Below are 14,969 nucleotides of genomic sequence, written 5' to 3' on the forward strand. Positions count from 1 at the left end.
CCAGACATAAATACAAATAGTTTAACCACGTAAATAAGCAAACCATGTTTACTATAGGAAATTGTGTTTGTTCCCTTAAGTCATAAAATTTTTATTTAGGAAATTGAATTTGTTCCTTTAAGTTGTAAAATGAGCTCACTAGCTTTGAATTAATTTAATCCACCACTCTGCACAGTGTGTAGATCTTACTCGTCAGAAAATCTCACATTCCTGGGCTTCCTCTTCTCAGGCTTGTTGGAAGCTAGTAAATCAACTGTCACTCTAGTAGATTTAAATCCAAACATATAAAATTTTCATTTTTCCCTAATGGAGTTTAATTAGTTTTTGACTTAAACTTTTTTTTTTTTTTTTTTTTTTTGAGACGGAGTCTCACTCTGTCACCAGACTGGAGTGCAGTGGTGCGATCTCAGCTCACTGCAAGCTCCGCCTCCCAGGTTCACGCCATTCTCCTGGCTCAACCTCCCAAGTAGCTGGGACTACAGGCATGTGCCACCACGCCCAGCTAATTTTTGTATTTTTAGTAGAGACAGGGTTTCCCCATGTTGGCCAGGATGATCTCCATCTCTTGACCTCGTGATCTGCCCGCCTCGGCCTCCCAAAGTGCTGGGATTACAGGTGTAAGCCACCACGCCCAGGCTACTTAAACTTGATCTTACTATTAGAGTAACTTAAAGGAAAAGAGTCAGGTTTTCCACAACTTCTGAATGTTATTCTTTCTATCATACCAAAAAATTTGGATATAACTAAATTGTACAAAATAGATAGGTATTAAACTTGTAAACTGAATCCTATTTGACATGTAATGGGTACTTAGTATCTGGAACAAACAGCCTTATGTAAAACAATGTATCTACCTAATCTTATTGCATTTATATTTTTAAGATATTTATGCATAGTGATTACTTGGTGCTTTTATTTTTTATTTATTTTTATTTATACTATTTATTTATGTTATTTTATTGTTTATTATTTATTTATTTTATTATTTATTTTAAATTAAAATCTGTGGCACCTGGCCACAAGTACGCTGGGCACAGTGGCTCACGCCTGTAATCCTAGTACTTTGGGAGGCCAAGATGGGCGGATCGCTTGAGGTCAGGAGTTCAAGACCAGCCTGGCCAACACCCCGTCTCTACTAAAAATACAAAAATTAGCAGGCGTGGTGGCATGTGCCTGTAATCCCAGCCACTTGGGAGGCTGAGGAAGGCGAATTGCTTGGACCTCGGAGGCGGAGTTTGCGGTGAGCCGAGATAGCGCCACTGAACTCCAGCCTGGGCAGCAGAGTGAGACTCTATCTCAAATAAATAAATAAATTGAGATCTGTGTTAACATCTTATTTCATTCCCTCCATCCTCCACCTTGTATAAATAGGCTCCAATCATGAGTGGCTACCATGTAAACAGGAACACTCCATTTGGGAGTAATGGTCCACAGTTTACATGGACTGTCTCATCTGATCATCAGAGTAACTTGTGCTGTGGGTTTTACCTCCACTTGACAAATGAAGACCCCAAGGCTCTGAGAGGTTATGTGACTTGCTCAAGATAACCAGCTAGTAAATGATAGAGTCAGACTATGAAGCCGGGTCTTCTGATACCAAATGTAGTGTCCTTTCAGCCCGCATGATGTCACATTTGAGAATTGAGCTTCTCTCCTCTTCCAGCGGCTGGTTATATCTGCTGATGCAGTCAGGCAGGCAGGTTGAAAAGCTTTGGATTTCTGATTGCATTTTTGCTGTGGCAGAGGCATGTGCCTCTAGCAGTGTCGCTTAGGAAATGACATTTTTAACTCTCTGATCCGCATTTCTGAAAAACATTTCCTTCTTGCGGGAGACATTTGGGCCATTACCTGGTTAACATTTGCAAACTGCTGTAGGAAATTCATCTGCTTGAAAGGAACATGATTAATAGCATCACCCTTGGAAAAAGAAGGTGGGGTGTTAATTATTAACAAGAGCTTGCTTAAAAGATACAATACAGAATTCTTAACAGAGCTGTTGGGAATATTAGGATGGAATGAACAGGGCCTATTGAAACCATCTCTAGAGCATAAAAATGCACTGCTCCCGCTCTGAGCAATCACAGCACCCCAAAGGGCCGAGAGGGAAAGAACCACTTGCTATTCTCATTGCTATGATTCTTATCTGTATTAAAATTCCAAAACCTATCAGGTGACAGATTCCTACTTGGTCAAAATGCCAGCATTTGCAACTCGAAGAATTCAACCAATCTTTACTGAACACCCATGTCAGGCAAGGCTCAAAGCCACATTCTTGGAGAACTAATAAAGGATACGGAGGCTACCTCCAGGACTGGTGGATCAGGGTAATGCTCAAATTACCAATGGACCTGTCTGAAGACCTGGGCAGCTTCAAGAAGAGAAGAAATAATGTCTGGAGAGTTTGTTAGGAATGAGGAACAAAAATAACATTTCCTGAGCACCTTCTATGTACCAAGCACTCTGCCAAGTGCTCAGTGTGACTTAATTGAATCTTTGCAGCCCAGCAATTCTATACATTGGGTTATTGTCTCCATTTCACATATCAGCACACTGAGGCTTGGTGCGCTGACTTGCCCACACTTGGCTAAATGGCAGAGCCAGGCTGCATTCTTCCAGCAGCTCTGCTCTACCTCTGAAGAAGAGGGCATTTGGAGTCAGTCCAGGGAATGGCTGATAGAACCAAGGAACTGGAAAGTATTCCAGACAGTAGGAATCGAGGAAGCATCATGGGAAATTCTAGGTTGGTGTTTATTATAAGGAATCTTAGAAGTCTGGCTTGGGAGCCTTAACTCCCAAGTGCTTAACTTGGTAAATAATAGGTGCCTTTGCATATCAAATCATCCCTCCTCAGTAAATTAGGATGTGTTGGCTTTATCTAGAACCCAGGGTTTTCCTGAAACCATTTAACATGTAAATAAAGGAACAAAATATTTACTCTACTGTGGTCAGACAAAATTAATGTAAGTTCAGTCACATAAATAAAATGATAATCAATCATAAGTCATTTTATTTGTTATCAAGTTATATTATCAACAGGTTATTGTCATCAACAGATTAAAACAAAATGTCTCAAAAAGACAAAGGCAAACACATACTATTGAGAGTAAACAATGACCGTCCCAGGCTTTCCAAAGCATATATATCACTTACACTCATGGACTTTTTTTTCATTTTAAAAGGGCATTTTGCATGTGTTTTATAACTATGAAAGTAATACATGCTCATTGCAGCAAACTTAGAAAATGCAGAAATGCACAAATATCTGTCTTCTGTACAACACTAACTGCTAGCTACCCTACACAGCTGTTGTTTCTCGCTTTCAAAACATTCTAGTGCTTTTTTATAACGTGTGAAGCGTTCCCCCAATTAAGTGGTCTATTAACTGGAAGTTCACAGGCTTCTGCTCTCATTCAGTAGCAGAATTGGTCACACCTGTTAGATTCTCAGCCTCCTCCTTTGTCATTTTCTCTCCTCTCTCTCCACCACTTCCCTCTCCCCTTTAAGAAAGACCTATCTCAGCCAGGAGCGGTGGCTCACGCCTGTAATCCCAGCACTTTGGGAGACCAAGGTGAGCAGATCACTTGAGGTCAGGAGTTTGAGACCAGCCTGGCCAACATGGTGAAACCCCGTCTCTACTAAAAACACAAAAATTAGCCAGCCATGGTGGCAGGCACCTGTAATCCCAGCTACTCAGGAGGCTGAGACAGGAGAATCGCTTGAACCCAGGAGGTGGAGGTTGCAGTGAGCCGAGATCGTGTCATTGCACTCCAGCCTGGGTGACAGAGTGAGGCTCCATCTCAAAAATAAAAATAAAGAAAGAAAGACCTATCTCATGAGCACCAGAGACACAGGGACCAAGCAAAGCTCTACCCTGGGCACTTAGCATGAGGGTCGGGGCACTTGAACATTCCTTTTTTCTTTCTTTCATTCAACTGCTCAATAAGGTTCAAAATTAATGTTCAAAATTAAGAAATGTCAAAACATTACCTTTGGGTTGGCATTCAGATAAACGTGGGGAAGGGGAAACTTGAAATGCACAAGCATAAAAGTAACCTGTACATTGGTTATAAGGAATGAAATTGGTGACCCTCATTTGTCAAAATGGGCTCCTCCCAGTAAGGAATGACAGCTTCAGATGACTTTCTGACATTTTTCCCCCTAATCAACATTCATTTACAGAGTACTTTTGCAGTCACCGGGGAGATACAATGATGTACAAGATACAGCCCTGCCTTCTGTAGTTTCAATCTAACAGGATAAAAAAAAAAACATAAAGCCATATACAAAAAAAAACTTTTCAGATAAGATATAAGTGGTATAATATTGCTAGAATGTTCTGGGAATTCAGAGACTTGAGCTCTCCCCTGATTGGGGGGATCAGGACTTTGACCTAGGCATTGGAGTACAGATAAGAGATACACGTGAAATGTGTGTGTGTGTGTGTGCATGTGATTCCAGGTGGGTGTGTACAGGTGAGCAGGGAGGGGACTCAACACAGAAATAGCAGACTGAGCAAAGGTGAGGGGGTATAGGAGAACAAGACATGTTGAGAGAAGAGAAAGGACCCAAACTTGTCTGAAGCAAAGAGAGTAACAGAAGAAAACGAAGGTTGAAAGCCTGAAATGGCAGACTGGACATTGGACTTTATTCCCTCTACAATTTGGAATCATTTAGTCATTCAGCAAATGTTCCTTAATCACATGGCCAGGCTCTGTGGTAGGTATGGTGAGAAACAGAAACAAACAAACAAAAAAACATAGTCCCTTGCTCTTGCCACCAAATTTCATGATAACATAAATTTCTGGAAATAGAATTTAAACTCAAAGAGGACTTATGAAGAGCAAAACAAAATTAGCCAAGACAACAGTTAATAATAAGGAATCTTCTCTGGTTACTTATTGCAGTGTGACAAATTATCCCAAAGGTTAATGACTTAAAACAACAATCATTTGATTCTTTGTTCATGCTTCTGCAACTGACACAGGCTTGATGGAGACGCTCGTCTCTTTTCCGTATGGTGTCAGCTGGAGTAGCTTCAACAGCTCGGGTCTGGCTGGAAGGGACAACTTGTGTCATGTGTCCGGGCCTCAGACTCTGCTGTGGGTTGGGTGTCTCCGTTCTCCTTCACATGGTGATCTCAGGCACTCTCATTTGTTCCTGGTAGTTCAACTCCTTATGTGGCAGCTGGCTTCCCCCACAATTCAAACGAGGAAACTGCCAGGGTTTCTATGCCCGGCACAGTGCCATTTATCACAATCTCCTGATTAAAGCAAGTCACAAAGGCAGCCCAGATTCAAACAGAAGGGACTAAATAAAGACATGAGTATCAGGAGGCATGACTCATTGGGGGCCACCAAAATAAAAGCCTACCATTGAATCTTAAAGTCAAATAATCCAACCGCATCTTCCACAATTTTAACCGACAGAGGGACATTAACTGCATAGGTTTTTCTACTCCAGAGCACGTAACCCCACCCATCTCACCCTATCCCCACCTTTTTGAATGCCAGCCACATGCAGCCATTTCTCAGACCACTCACTGATCACTTAATGGAACTGCATCAAGTTTAAACCAACCTTGCAACAAAATTTCAAAGAGGCCAGCATCCGGGGAGTGGGTGCTAGGGAGGGGCAGGGGGCTTACAGCTCAGAACCACCCATTTGCTCGTGAGCCTGTGTCCCTCCTAAAATCTCTTGCTGTCATGTTCTTCAGATTCAGAACAGGAAGGAAGAAAATCCATTCCTGCCTGGCACTTGCCACTCTGTCTGCCATCTCCCACATCCTCATCTCGCCTAGGTCTCTCCTCATCCCCGCATCTGTGTCACACCACCCTGTCCCTGGGAGCTACAGCAGAAAATTGAGTTCCTCATTCTCAGAATGCCACTTAAGATCCAGCTATAGCTTTTATAATCCCCCGTGTTTTAAATTGTCTTGAACAAAACGCTCCGGGTGTGGCCTGGATACTGAATTCAGGGGTGGTACCAGAGTTTCTATAGAAGCTTGGGATGCAATCTGGTTAGAGGGAGGGTGAGAGGGACTTAGAGATTTTTCTTGTAATTTTTACGAGTGATGTGACTCCTTGGATAACTAGGATTGATCACCAAAATAATTGACATTAATAGCCAAAAAGTAATTAATAAAAACACTCAGCTCACATAAATTAATAAAAATGTATACTTAGTACATATAAAATCAAAAGTTAACTGGGCTTAGTAGAGGAGCAGAAGCAGAGATGTTTGCATTTGCTTTGTTTTTAACATTTCTAACCATCCATCAGTTATTCCATGGAAAGGCAGGATGGCATGATTATTGAGTATGGGCTCAAGAAGTCAGACCGTACATGTTTGAATTCCAGCTCCACTGTTTACTGAGTTATCTGGGGAAAGTTACCTAATTTCCCTATGTGTTAGCTTTCTCATCTATAAAATGAGAACAATAATAATACTTACTATCTCAGGGTTGTCGCAAGTATTAAATAGAACTTACAAAAAGCACTTTGACCGTGCCCACTGAATTGTAAGCACTCGGTGTTACCTACTATTGTTATCCCGTAAGTTATCATGAGCCTGAGGATTTTCAACACATGCTTTATAGATTTTTTTCTCTCTATTAATTCTTGTTTAGCATGATCTTGAAAGCAATGACTGTTTAAAATTATGAGAAGCCAAAGATGCCCCTGCAAGCCACCTTCTTGGTATCTTGGCCAACTTTAAATAAATCTTGGCAAGTAAAGGTATCAATAGCAAAGTATCAATAGCAAATACACTAAAAAAAAACAAAACAACAACAACAAAAAAACAAAAAAACGCTTAAGGTAACAAGTATTCTCCTAAGCCTCAGAAATTGAGTATTAAAAATAAAAGCTAGGTGACAGAGATGAACTTAAGAAAGAAAAAGCTGAGAAATAAGCACTGAATCTATATACACTTGGAATGTTTTAAAGAAAGTGTGTACCTGCTCATCAAATTTGTATGGGGAGGAAATGAAATAAGTGAAAGCAGTCTAGAATTTTACTTTAGATAAAATCATACAATTCCATGTATTATTTTTGCCTTTGATTGCTCTCCCAGCACCCTCTTTCCCATTACAATCCCAAGAGGCAAGCAGTGAGAAGAGGCATCCAGTGAGATAAAACAGGGGAACATGATGGCTCAGCAATGCACTCATACAGAACCATTTCCCTGCTGCTCTGCGCTTACAGAATTTTATTTGCGTAGAAGAACTGCAGGATCTCTGGATGATAGTGGCTCTGAAAGAAATTAGCAAAGGTACGCGTGAGGGCAGGATTCAACAAACTTCCTTGACAATGTAACTAGTAGGCAGTGATCAGTGCAGGGCATGTGGATAAGCAGGAGAGGTGGAGGCATCATCTGTATCCAGCTAGTGACCTGAATTGGAACTGCCGATATATCTCGTGCTTGATCCTCTAGGCGTTTTGCCATTTACATTGTATGATGGGTCAATTACAATCAAAACACAGTTGGCTTGGCCGGGCATGCTGACTCATGCCTGTAATCCCAGTACTTTGGGAGGCTGAGGCAGGCAGATCACTTGAGATCAGGAGTTCAAGACCAGCCTGGGCAACGTGGTGAAACCCCATCTCTACTAAAAATACAAAAATTAGCCGGGTGTGGTGGTGCACGCCTGTAATCTCAGCTACTCAAGAAGCTGAGGCACGAGAATCACTTGAACTTGGGAGGTGAAGGCTGCAGTGAGCCAAGATGGTGCCACTGCACTTGCTCTTCTCAGAAAAAAAGAAAAAATAAAAAAATAAACATAGTTGGCCTGAGTCATTTTAAGGGGGTAACTCTTTCTTGTGCTTGGCCACCTTCCGTGTTAACCACCAGGAGGGCAGGGACCGGAAAAGAATTCTCTCCTACCCTGGCTCACTCACCAGCTGCTGGTAGAGCTTAGTGTTCCTTTGATCTTCTTCACTCTGGAAGCTGTATTCCTCCTTTAGTTTCAGATATGGAGAACAGGCTTGAAATGTTGTTTTGCAAGCCTGAGAAAAATAATATTACTATTTTATTTATTAGAGAGTTCCATAATCCCAAGCAAGGAAAAGTATCCTAGAGGATTGCACCCAATCTGTGGTCAGGGGCCCACTGAAAGTGTGAAAGTAACTTCCAGGTAGTTTCAAAATTTGAATCTTAAAGGATGTATGCTTATAAAATGGCCATGTCTATAATTTGGGGACTGGTGGGAAGGGCGTAGCTTTACAGTTTAGCACAGCCTTTGTTATTATCCCATCAAAAGTAGTACTGGATTCCTAAATTTAATCTCTCTCTCAGTAACTTAAAGAAGGCAAGTGGTTTGGTAGAAAGCTTTGCTCCCAATTGTTTTGAAACGTTCACCAAGTCCCACTCCAAAGCAGGCCTGAAGTTGATCCAACCTTGTTGGGATACAATTTTCTCCAAGAATAAAACAAAACTACCAGAAGAAATTAATAAGTCATGGGTGGAGCCCAGCAAGATGGCTCACGCCTATAATCCCAACACCTTGGGAGGCTGAGGTGGGTGGATCACCTGAGGTCAGGAGTTCGAGACCAGCCTGGCCAGCATGGTGAAATCCCATCTCTACTTAAAATACAAAAAATTAGCAGGGCGTGGTGGTGGGCACCTGTAATCCCAGCTACTCAGGAGGTTGAGGCAGGAGAATTGCTTGAACCCCAGAGGCGGAAGTTGTAGTGAGCCGAGATCACACCACTGCACTCCAGCCTGGGCAACAAGAGCAAAACTGTCTCAAAAAAAAAAAAAAGAAAGAAAGAACGAAGGAAGAAAGGAAGGAAGGAAAGAAGGAAGGAAGGAAAGAAAAGAGAAAAGAACAGAAAAGAAAAGAAGCCATGGGTGGAAATCTATACCAGGCACAATGACAAAAGCTAAGTGGGCATGAATAAATATCCTCATTATGTGGGCTGCTGCACCATTGATTAAACCTGTGCCTCTCTGCCCTCAACCCCATTACCCTGAGCTTATCTTGCATTGACAGGTGCTGGGCTTGGGCAGGTGGGGCAGATGGAAACCAACACTCTTGCTCAAAGAGAGATTACACACCAAAGAGGCACCTTGTCAAGGATGCACACAGAAACGCTGCTAAGTATCTACAGCAGTGCTGGCAGGAACCCTAGGGTCTGGCGTCTCAACTCGCAACTCCCTTTATGAATAGCATGGAGATGTCACTCTGTTGGTTGCAGAGTCAAGGTCTTACCTTGGCAACCTGGGGATTTCTGTCCTGTAAATGGATCAGGAGGGAATCTCGTGTCTGCTTAACCTGACTGGTGAAAAATTTTTTCCATTTCCTCCCGGCAAAGGCAGCCAATTGCCCAAACAAAACAAAGGCCGAGTATCTCAGACTGTCGTTCTCCTGCGGTCCCCATCAACAAAACAATAAGAAAGCCAGATCATTACCAAAAGGCAACTGCATCTGAACACATCACAGCCATCGGTCAGAACACATCACAGCCGTCAATCAGAACACATCACAGCCATCGATCTTGACTGTACATTACAGGGTGGGTGGTGAGATCTGGTCTAAAGCACTTAGCTGGGTGGGTGGGGGTGGCTTGAAGAGGGCCCAAAGGCTTCAATGAACCTCTTCTCCAGCAGACGAGAGGACTAGCCTGGGAAATCACTAGTGCTACTCCCACCTTCCCAGATTTTTTGTTCGTTATTTCATGTTTTGGAGATAGAATACATTTATAAACTTCCCAAAATTCAAAATAACCAAAAAGCTTTACAGGAAAAGTAGGTCTACTTCCTACTCCTCTCCATCAGCCACCAAATTTTCCTCCCCACAAGCTAATAAAGTTATGTTTTGTGTGTATCTCTCCAAAAAATAAAGAAGAAAGATGTATATCACATAATCCTTTCCCTCTTTTTTACATAATGGAAGCACATGCCACTGTTGTTGTGCACCTTGAGTTTTCATCAGTCTGAGAGCTCTTTCTACATCAATACATAAAAGAGTTTTCATTTTTCTTTTTCTTTTCTTTTTTCTCTTTTTCTTTTCTGCACCAAAATTCATTCAACCAGTTCCCTGTTTATTACTCCAGCATTTTTGCCAAGTCTCTTCTCTTTGCTTTTGGTTTGAGTTTCTCCTATCTGCAGTGGATATAATAATCATGTTTCTTCCCCCAACACCCTCCCACCTCTCCCTGCTTCCAGTCTGATTGGTTGGTTTGTCCCTGAGTGCATTTCAGTGGACTCCGCCCTCTCTTTCTTTCCAAGGTGAGCTGTTTGGTCCAAGTATTACATTTCCAGGTGAGGAGACCAAGGCCCAAGGCACTTAAGGAACTTGCCCAAAATCACACTGTCGGGTAACAGAGCCAGTATAGTAACCTAAACACCTGACTCATGGTGCACGGGTTTTTATATCAGTGTTTTGTAGTCTAAGTCCTCCTCCAGGTAAACCAGAGGGAGGAGGGCTGGGGTGGGCCTTCACAGCGGGGAAGAAGCACAAAGAACTGAGGGTCACAGAGACCCAGCAAGACTGAGGAACACTAATCATATTGTGAAGTATCTTTAAAAAATTTAGCACATGATGCATACAGAAATTGTCTTAGGGTTTTTGTTTTTTTTTGTTTTTGTTTTTGTTTTTGTTTTAGAGACAACATCTTGCTACATTGCCCAGGCTGGCCTCCAACTCCTGTGCTCAAATGACCCTCATGCCTCAGCCTCCTAAGTAGCTGGGATTACAGGCACACACCACCATGCCTGGCTTAGGGTTGTATTATCTTCATGGCTCTATTAGTGAGTGTTTGTGTATGTGTGTGTGTAGTGTGTGTGTGTGTGTGTGTGTGTGTTTAACAAATTTTAATGGAGAATGTACCCCATTCAAAGCCATACCCTAATGCTTTAAGATGTACAGACACGTAAGACAGATGCTCGCCCCGCTAGGAGTCTGACAACCATCTAACTGGGAACACACGCACGGGTGAGCTTCATGGCCTCAGATAGTGAAGAGTGCTATCTGTAATGGAGATGTAAACTATCAGCAAACAGCTCTGCATAAGAATTTCTGTGTTTCTACATGGCCGGGGATTTCTGCTCAAAAATTCCAGGCAACCAGGGTTTAAAAAAATGGTTGAAGGCCAGACACATGTCTCATGCCTGAAATCCCAGCCCTTTGGGAGGCCGAGACAGGAGAATCGCTTGAGCCCGGTCAGAGACCAGCCTGGGCAACATAACAAGACCCTATCTCTACAAAAACTACGAAAATTAGCCAGGCACAGTGGCATGCACTTGTGGTCCCAGCCACTCAGGAGGCTGAGGTGGGAGGATCAGTTGAGCCTGGGAGGTTGAGGCTGCAGTGAGCTGTGTTCCTGCCACTGTACTCCAGCCTGGGCAATACAGCGAGACCCTGTCTCAAAAAAAAAAAAAAAAGTGGTTGAATGACAAACAAGTCCTCGAAGTTCAGATGGCTCCTCCAAGAGATTTAGAGCCATCTCCCCGGAGACATCTGCTTACACTTCAGGGTGGTAAGTAGGGACCTTCGCCCGCTCCCTCCCCAGAGAGGACTGGCTTACATTCAAGAGCAAAAATCCCTCTGTGTCTCTGGAGCAGGTGAGACACATGTGCCCAGCTCCCATATGAGCTCCAAGTTACATAAGGTCAAGGCCTCTTCTCCCCTTCTGTCCTGCTGACACATCTGGCTCTCGCCACGTGGCTCCGGAGAGAATTAGGGCGTGGGGAGATGCAAATCTCTCTGGGAGTAAATAAACGGTCTGTTCGCTGTTCTGTAGGTCTTGTCTTTCAGGGACAGAATAACTGGCAGGCTAACTTGTTAGCTTGCAGTCAGGGTCTCTGACTCTTCTCAGTTTCGGGCTGAACGATGTGCCGGTGCACTTTTTGCTTAGCCTGATTTGTCATCTGGTAGTTGAGTGTAGCCCTATAGTCAGAGGAGCTGGTGGCATGTCCACTTCCTGGCTCTGTGAATTTGGGCAAGTTCTAACCTTTCTGTGCTTTGGTTTCCTTGTCTACAAAGTGAAGATAATTACAGTGCCCATCTCACAGGGTTATTGGGAAGATTATATGAGATGATTCATGTAAATTGCCTAGCACTGTGCCTGGCACACAGTGAGGGCTCACTAGACACTAATCATTGCTATTGCCACATTTATAAGACAGCATTGACTACATGTTAGTCAATCAGTGTACATCATCATCAGTGTAAATATACCCACTTCTCTGTTAAGATGAAAACTCACCAGGCACAGTGGCTTACACCTGTAATCCTAACACTTTGGGAGGCCAAGGCAGGTGGGTCATTTGAGCCCAGGAGTTTGAGACTAGCCTGGGCAATATAGTGAAAACCCATCTTTACCAAAAATACAAAAATTAGCCAGCTGCGGTGGCATGTGCCTATAGTCCCAGCTACTTGGGAGGCTGAGGTGGGAGGATCAATTGAGCCCAGAAGGTGGAGGTTGCAGTGAGCCGAGATCACACCATTGCACTCCAGCCTGGGTGACAGAGTGAGACCCTGTCTCAAACAGACAAAAAAACCCTTGAGGGTTAGAGATAAAATTCTATACATCTTTACATGTCCTCCCAACCCCTAGCACAGTACTAGTCTCTCAACAAGATGTGGTAATAAATAAGTGAATACTAGAGACCTTGTTCCCACAGCAACAAACCACCCGCAGCTCACATTTCTTTCTTTCTTTTTTTATTTGAGAGGGAGTCTTGCTCTATTGCCAGGCTGGAGTGCAGTGGCGTGATCTCGGCTCACTGCAACCTCCACCTCCCAAGTTCAAGCGATTCTCCTGCCTCAGCCTCCCGACTAGCTGGGACTACAGGCGTGCACCACCATGCCCAGCTAGTTCTTTGTATTTTAGTAAAGATAGGGTTTCACCATGTTGGCCAGGATGGTCTCGATCTCCTGACCTCGTGATCCCACCCGCCTCGGCCTCCCAAAGTGCTGAGATTACAGGCATGAGCCACCGCACCCGGCCCCACAGTCATATTTCTAAGCCCATTTTGATTTCAATAACCCAGAATTTTTCTGATTTACTTACGTCATCTAATAAAGTCCTGGTCTGAAGGGTGATATCTATGAAGAAGGAACCCAAACCTTTCCCCTGGATCTTGCCCAGAACGACGGTCAGAGTCTTCATACTCTCATGGATGACTTCCAAATTCACAGGGTCATACAGTCCATACACCAGCAGGTCGAGGACAATTTTCTTATACTTTCTCACCTGTCACCAAGGTTTGAAAAGCAGTAATAGCACAGGAACTGCTCCCCATAGGTTGAAAAGCAACCCCACATCTAAGCTACTAATAACCTAGGACTTGAACTAACACACCAGGGCTTTTTTCAAGATCTGCACAACTCTCATTAAAATACAAATGCTTCCATTAACCCAACCCAAGAGCCCAACTCAGCCTAGGAAGGAAAACAGAAAGAGCAATCTGGAGTGTGGCATGTGGGTGGGTGAGGCTCAGTGGGGCTCTTCAAATAGGGCAGCAGACCTGGGTGATCTCAGGGCCTGGGGAGAACTAGGTACCTTTATAGTGGGGAGGAGACAAAATGGACACTGAAGTTGGCGGATGGTAAAGGAGGAGGTGGGAAAAACATCTTTTATGAAACAAACATTAAATTACTAGAAAAAAAAATCACTTAAATTCACCAGGAAGGGTAACAGCTGTGAGTTTATCCTTCCTGCAGCTCTGTCTCTCACAGCTGATATTGCTGAGGTGTCATGAGCCTAAGATGACCCTGAATGAGTGACACCCTGAATGAGTCTCCTCCCCTTGAGTGCAGAAGGAACCTGTGACTCGCTTCCAGCCTACGGACATGACTTTACATTGCATAAGACTCTATCTTTTTTTTTTTTTTTGAAATGGAGTCTCGCTCTGTCGCTCAGGCTGGAGTGCCTGGTGTGATCTCTGCTCAAGCCTCAGCCTCCCGAGTAGCTGAGATTGCAGGCACATGCCACCATGCCTGGGCAATTTTTTGTATTTTTACAAAAATATAAAAGAAATGGGGTTTCACCATGTTGGCCAGGCTAGTCTTGAACTCCTGACTTCAAGTGGTCCACCCGCCTTGGCCTCCCAAAGTGCTGGAACTGCAGGCGTGAACCACTACGGCCCAGCCCATAAGACTCTATCTTAGCAGACAGGAGGAGGCGACACCCTCCTGCTGGCCTGGAGGAAGTGAGCTGCCTGCTGTGACAGAGTGGCCTGTAGGCATCGAAAGTGGCCCCCGGCATACAGCAGGCAAAAAAACAGAAACCTCTGTCCCACAATGGGAAGTAACTGAATTCTGCCAACAACGATGTAAGCGAACCCTGAGCTTCAGGAAGGAATGCAGTCTGGCAGACGCTTGATTGCAGCCTCGTGAGATCCTAAGCAGATGACCCAGCTGAGCTGCACCTGGACTCCTGACCCGCGAAAACCCGAGATAATCAACACGTGTTGCTGTAAGCTGCTAAGTGTGCGGTGGTTTGTTCCGGGGTGATAGATAACTAATACAACAGACACCATACTCCAGCCCTGGGAGTCTCCACACCAAGGTGGTTGGAGAGGCTTGGGGAGCTGGCTGAGCCCCACTCTCCTTCCCTACCTTGTCAGGGGCTTCATAGGCCATGGTTCCCAAGTTTCTCATTGCCATGTGACGCTTTTTAGCACTGGGGTCCCGAGCTCTTTCTGCCAAGATGAAAAACACATTCTTCAGAGGCTCCCGCTTCTGGAACCTCAGTTTCCAAGAGACCTGGGTGATGGGTCAAAAATGTATTAATTTGGGAGTGTTCAGAGTCATACCAATCCCAACCCCAATCTCTCCCTCTAAAGAAAATCCCGTGATTGCCTGCTCAATTTTACCCCTTCTTTCTCCTACTAAAGACGGCTGGGTTTTGTTGGAAATGTACTCATTTGGTCTACATAACGAAGAAATTGATGGAGAAAGAGGGCAATAAAGATAGTGCAGGCTGGTGTTGAGGTAGGTTTAGGAGATTAAGGGGAGAGGCTCT

The 14,969-nt window shown here is 43.9% G+C and overlaps 1 protein-coding gene across 12 annotated transcripts in view; it reads right to left on the bottom strand.

Moving 5' to 3' along the window:
- Positions 1–2,989: 2,989 nt before the first annotated feature.
- MRO (maestro) overlaps positions 2,990–14,969 on the bottom strand; it is a 30,251-nt gene continuing 18,271 nt past the window's right edge. For 7 of the 12 annotated variants that reach the window (NM_001369510.2, XM_047437883.1, NM_001369508.2 and 4 more), the window contains 5 exons: positions 14,564–14,710; positions 13,014–13,196; positions 9,209–9,364; positions 7,896–8,003; positions 2,990–7,250 (listed from right to left, as the gene is read on the bottom strand). In NM_001369510.2, the coding sequence (NP_001356439.1) occupies positions 7,197–7,250; positions 7,896–8,003; positions 9,209–9,364; positions 13,014–13,196; positions 14,564–14,710 (648 nt within the window). In that variant the 3' untranslated portion in view covers positions 2,990–7,196. The remainder of the gene's footprint in view (positions 7,251–7,895; positions 8,004–9,208; positions 9,365–13,013; positions 13,197–14,563; positions 14,711–14,969) is intronic. The other 5 variants (NM_001127174.3, XM_011526226.4, NM_001369511.2 and 2 more) reach the window with 1 other exon arrangement.

This window comes from Homo sapiens, chromosome 18, assembly GCF_000001405.40.
Source record: "Homo sapiens chromosome 18, GRCh38.p14 Primary Assembly".
Lineage (NCBI taxonomy): Eukaryota > Metazoa > Chordata > Mammalia > Primates > Hominidae > Homo > Homo sapiens.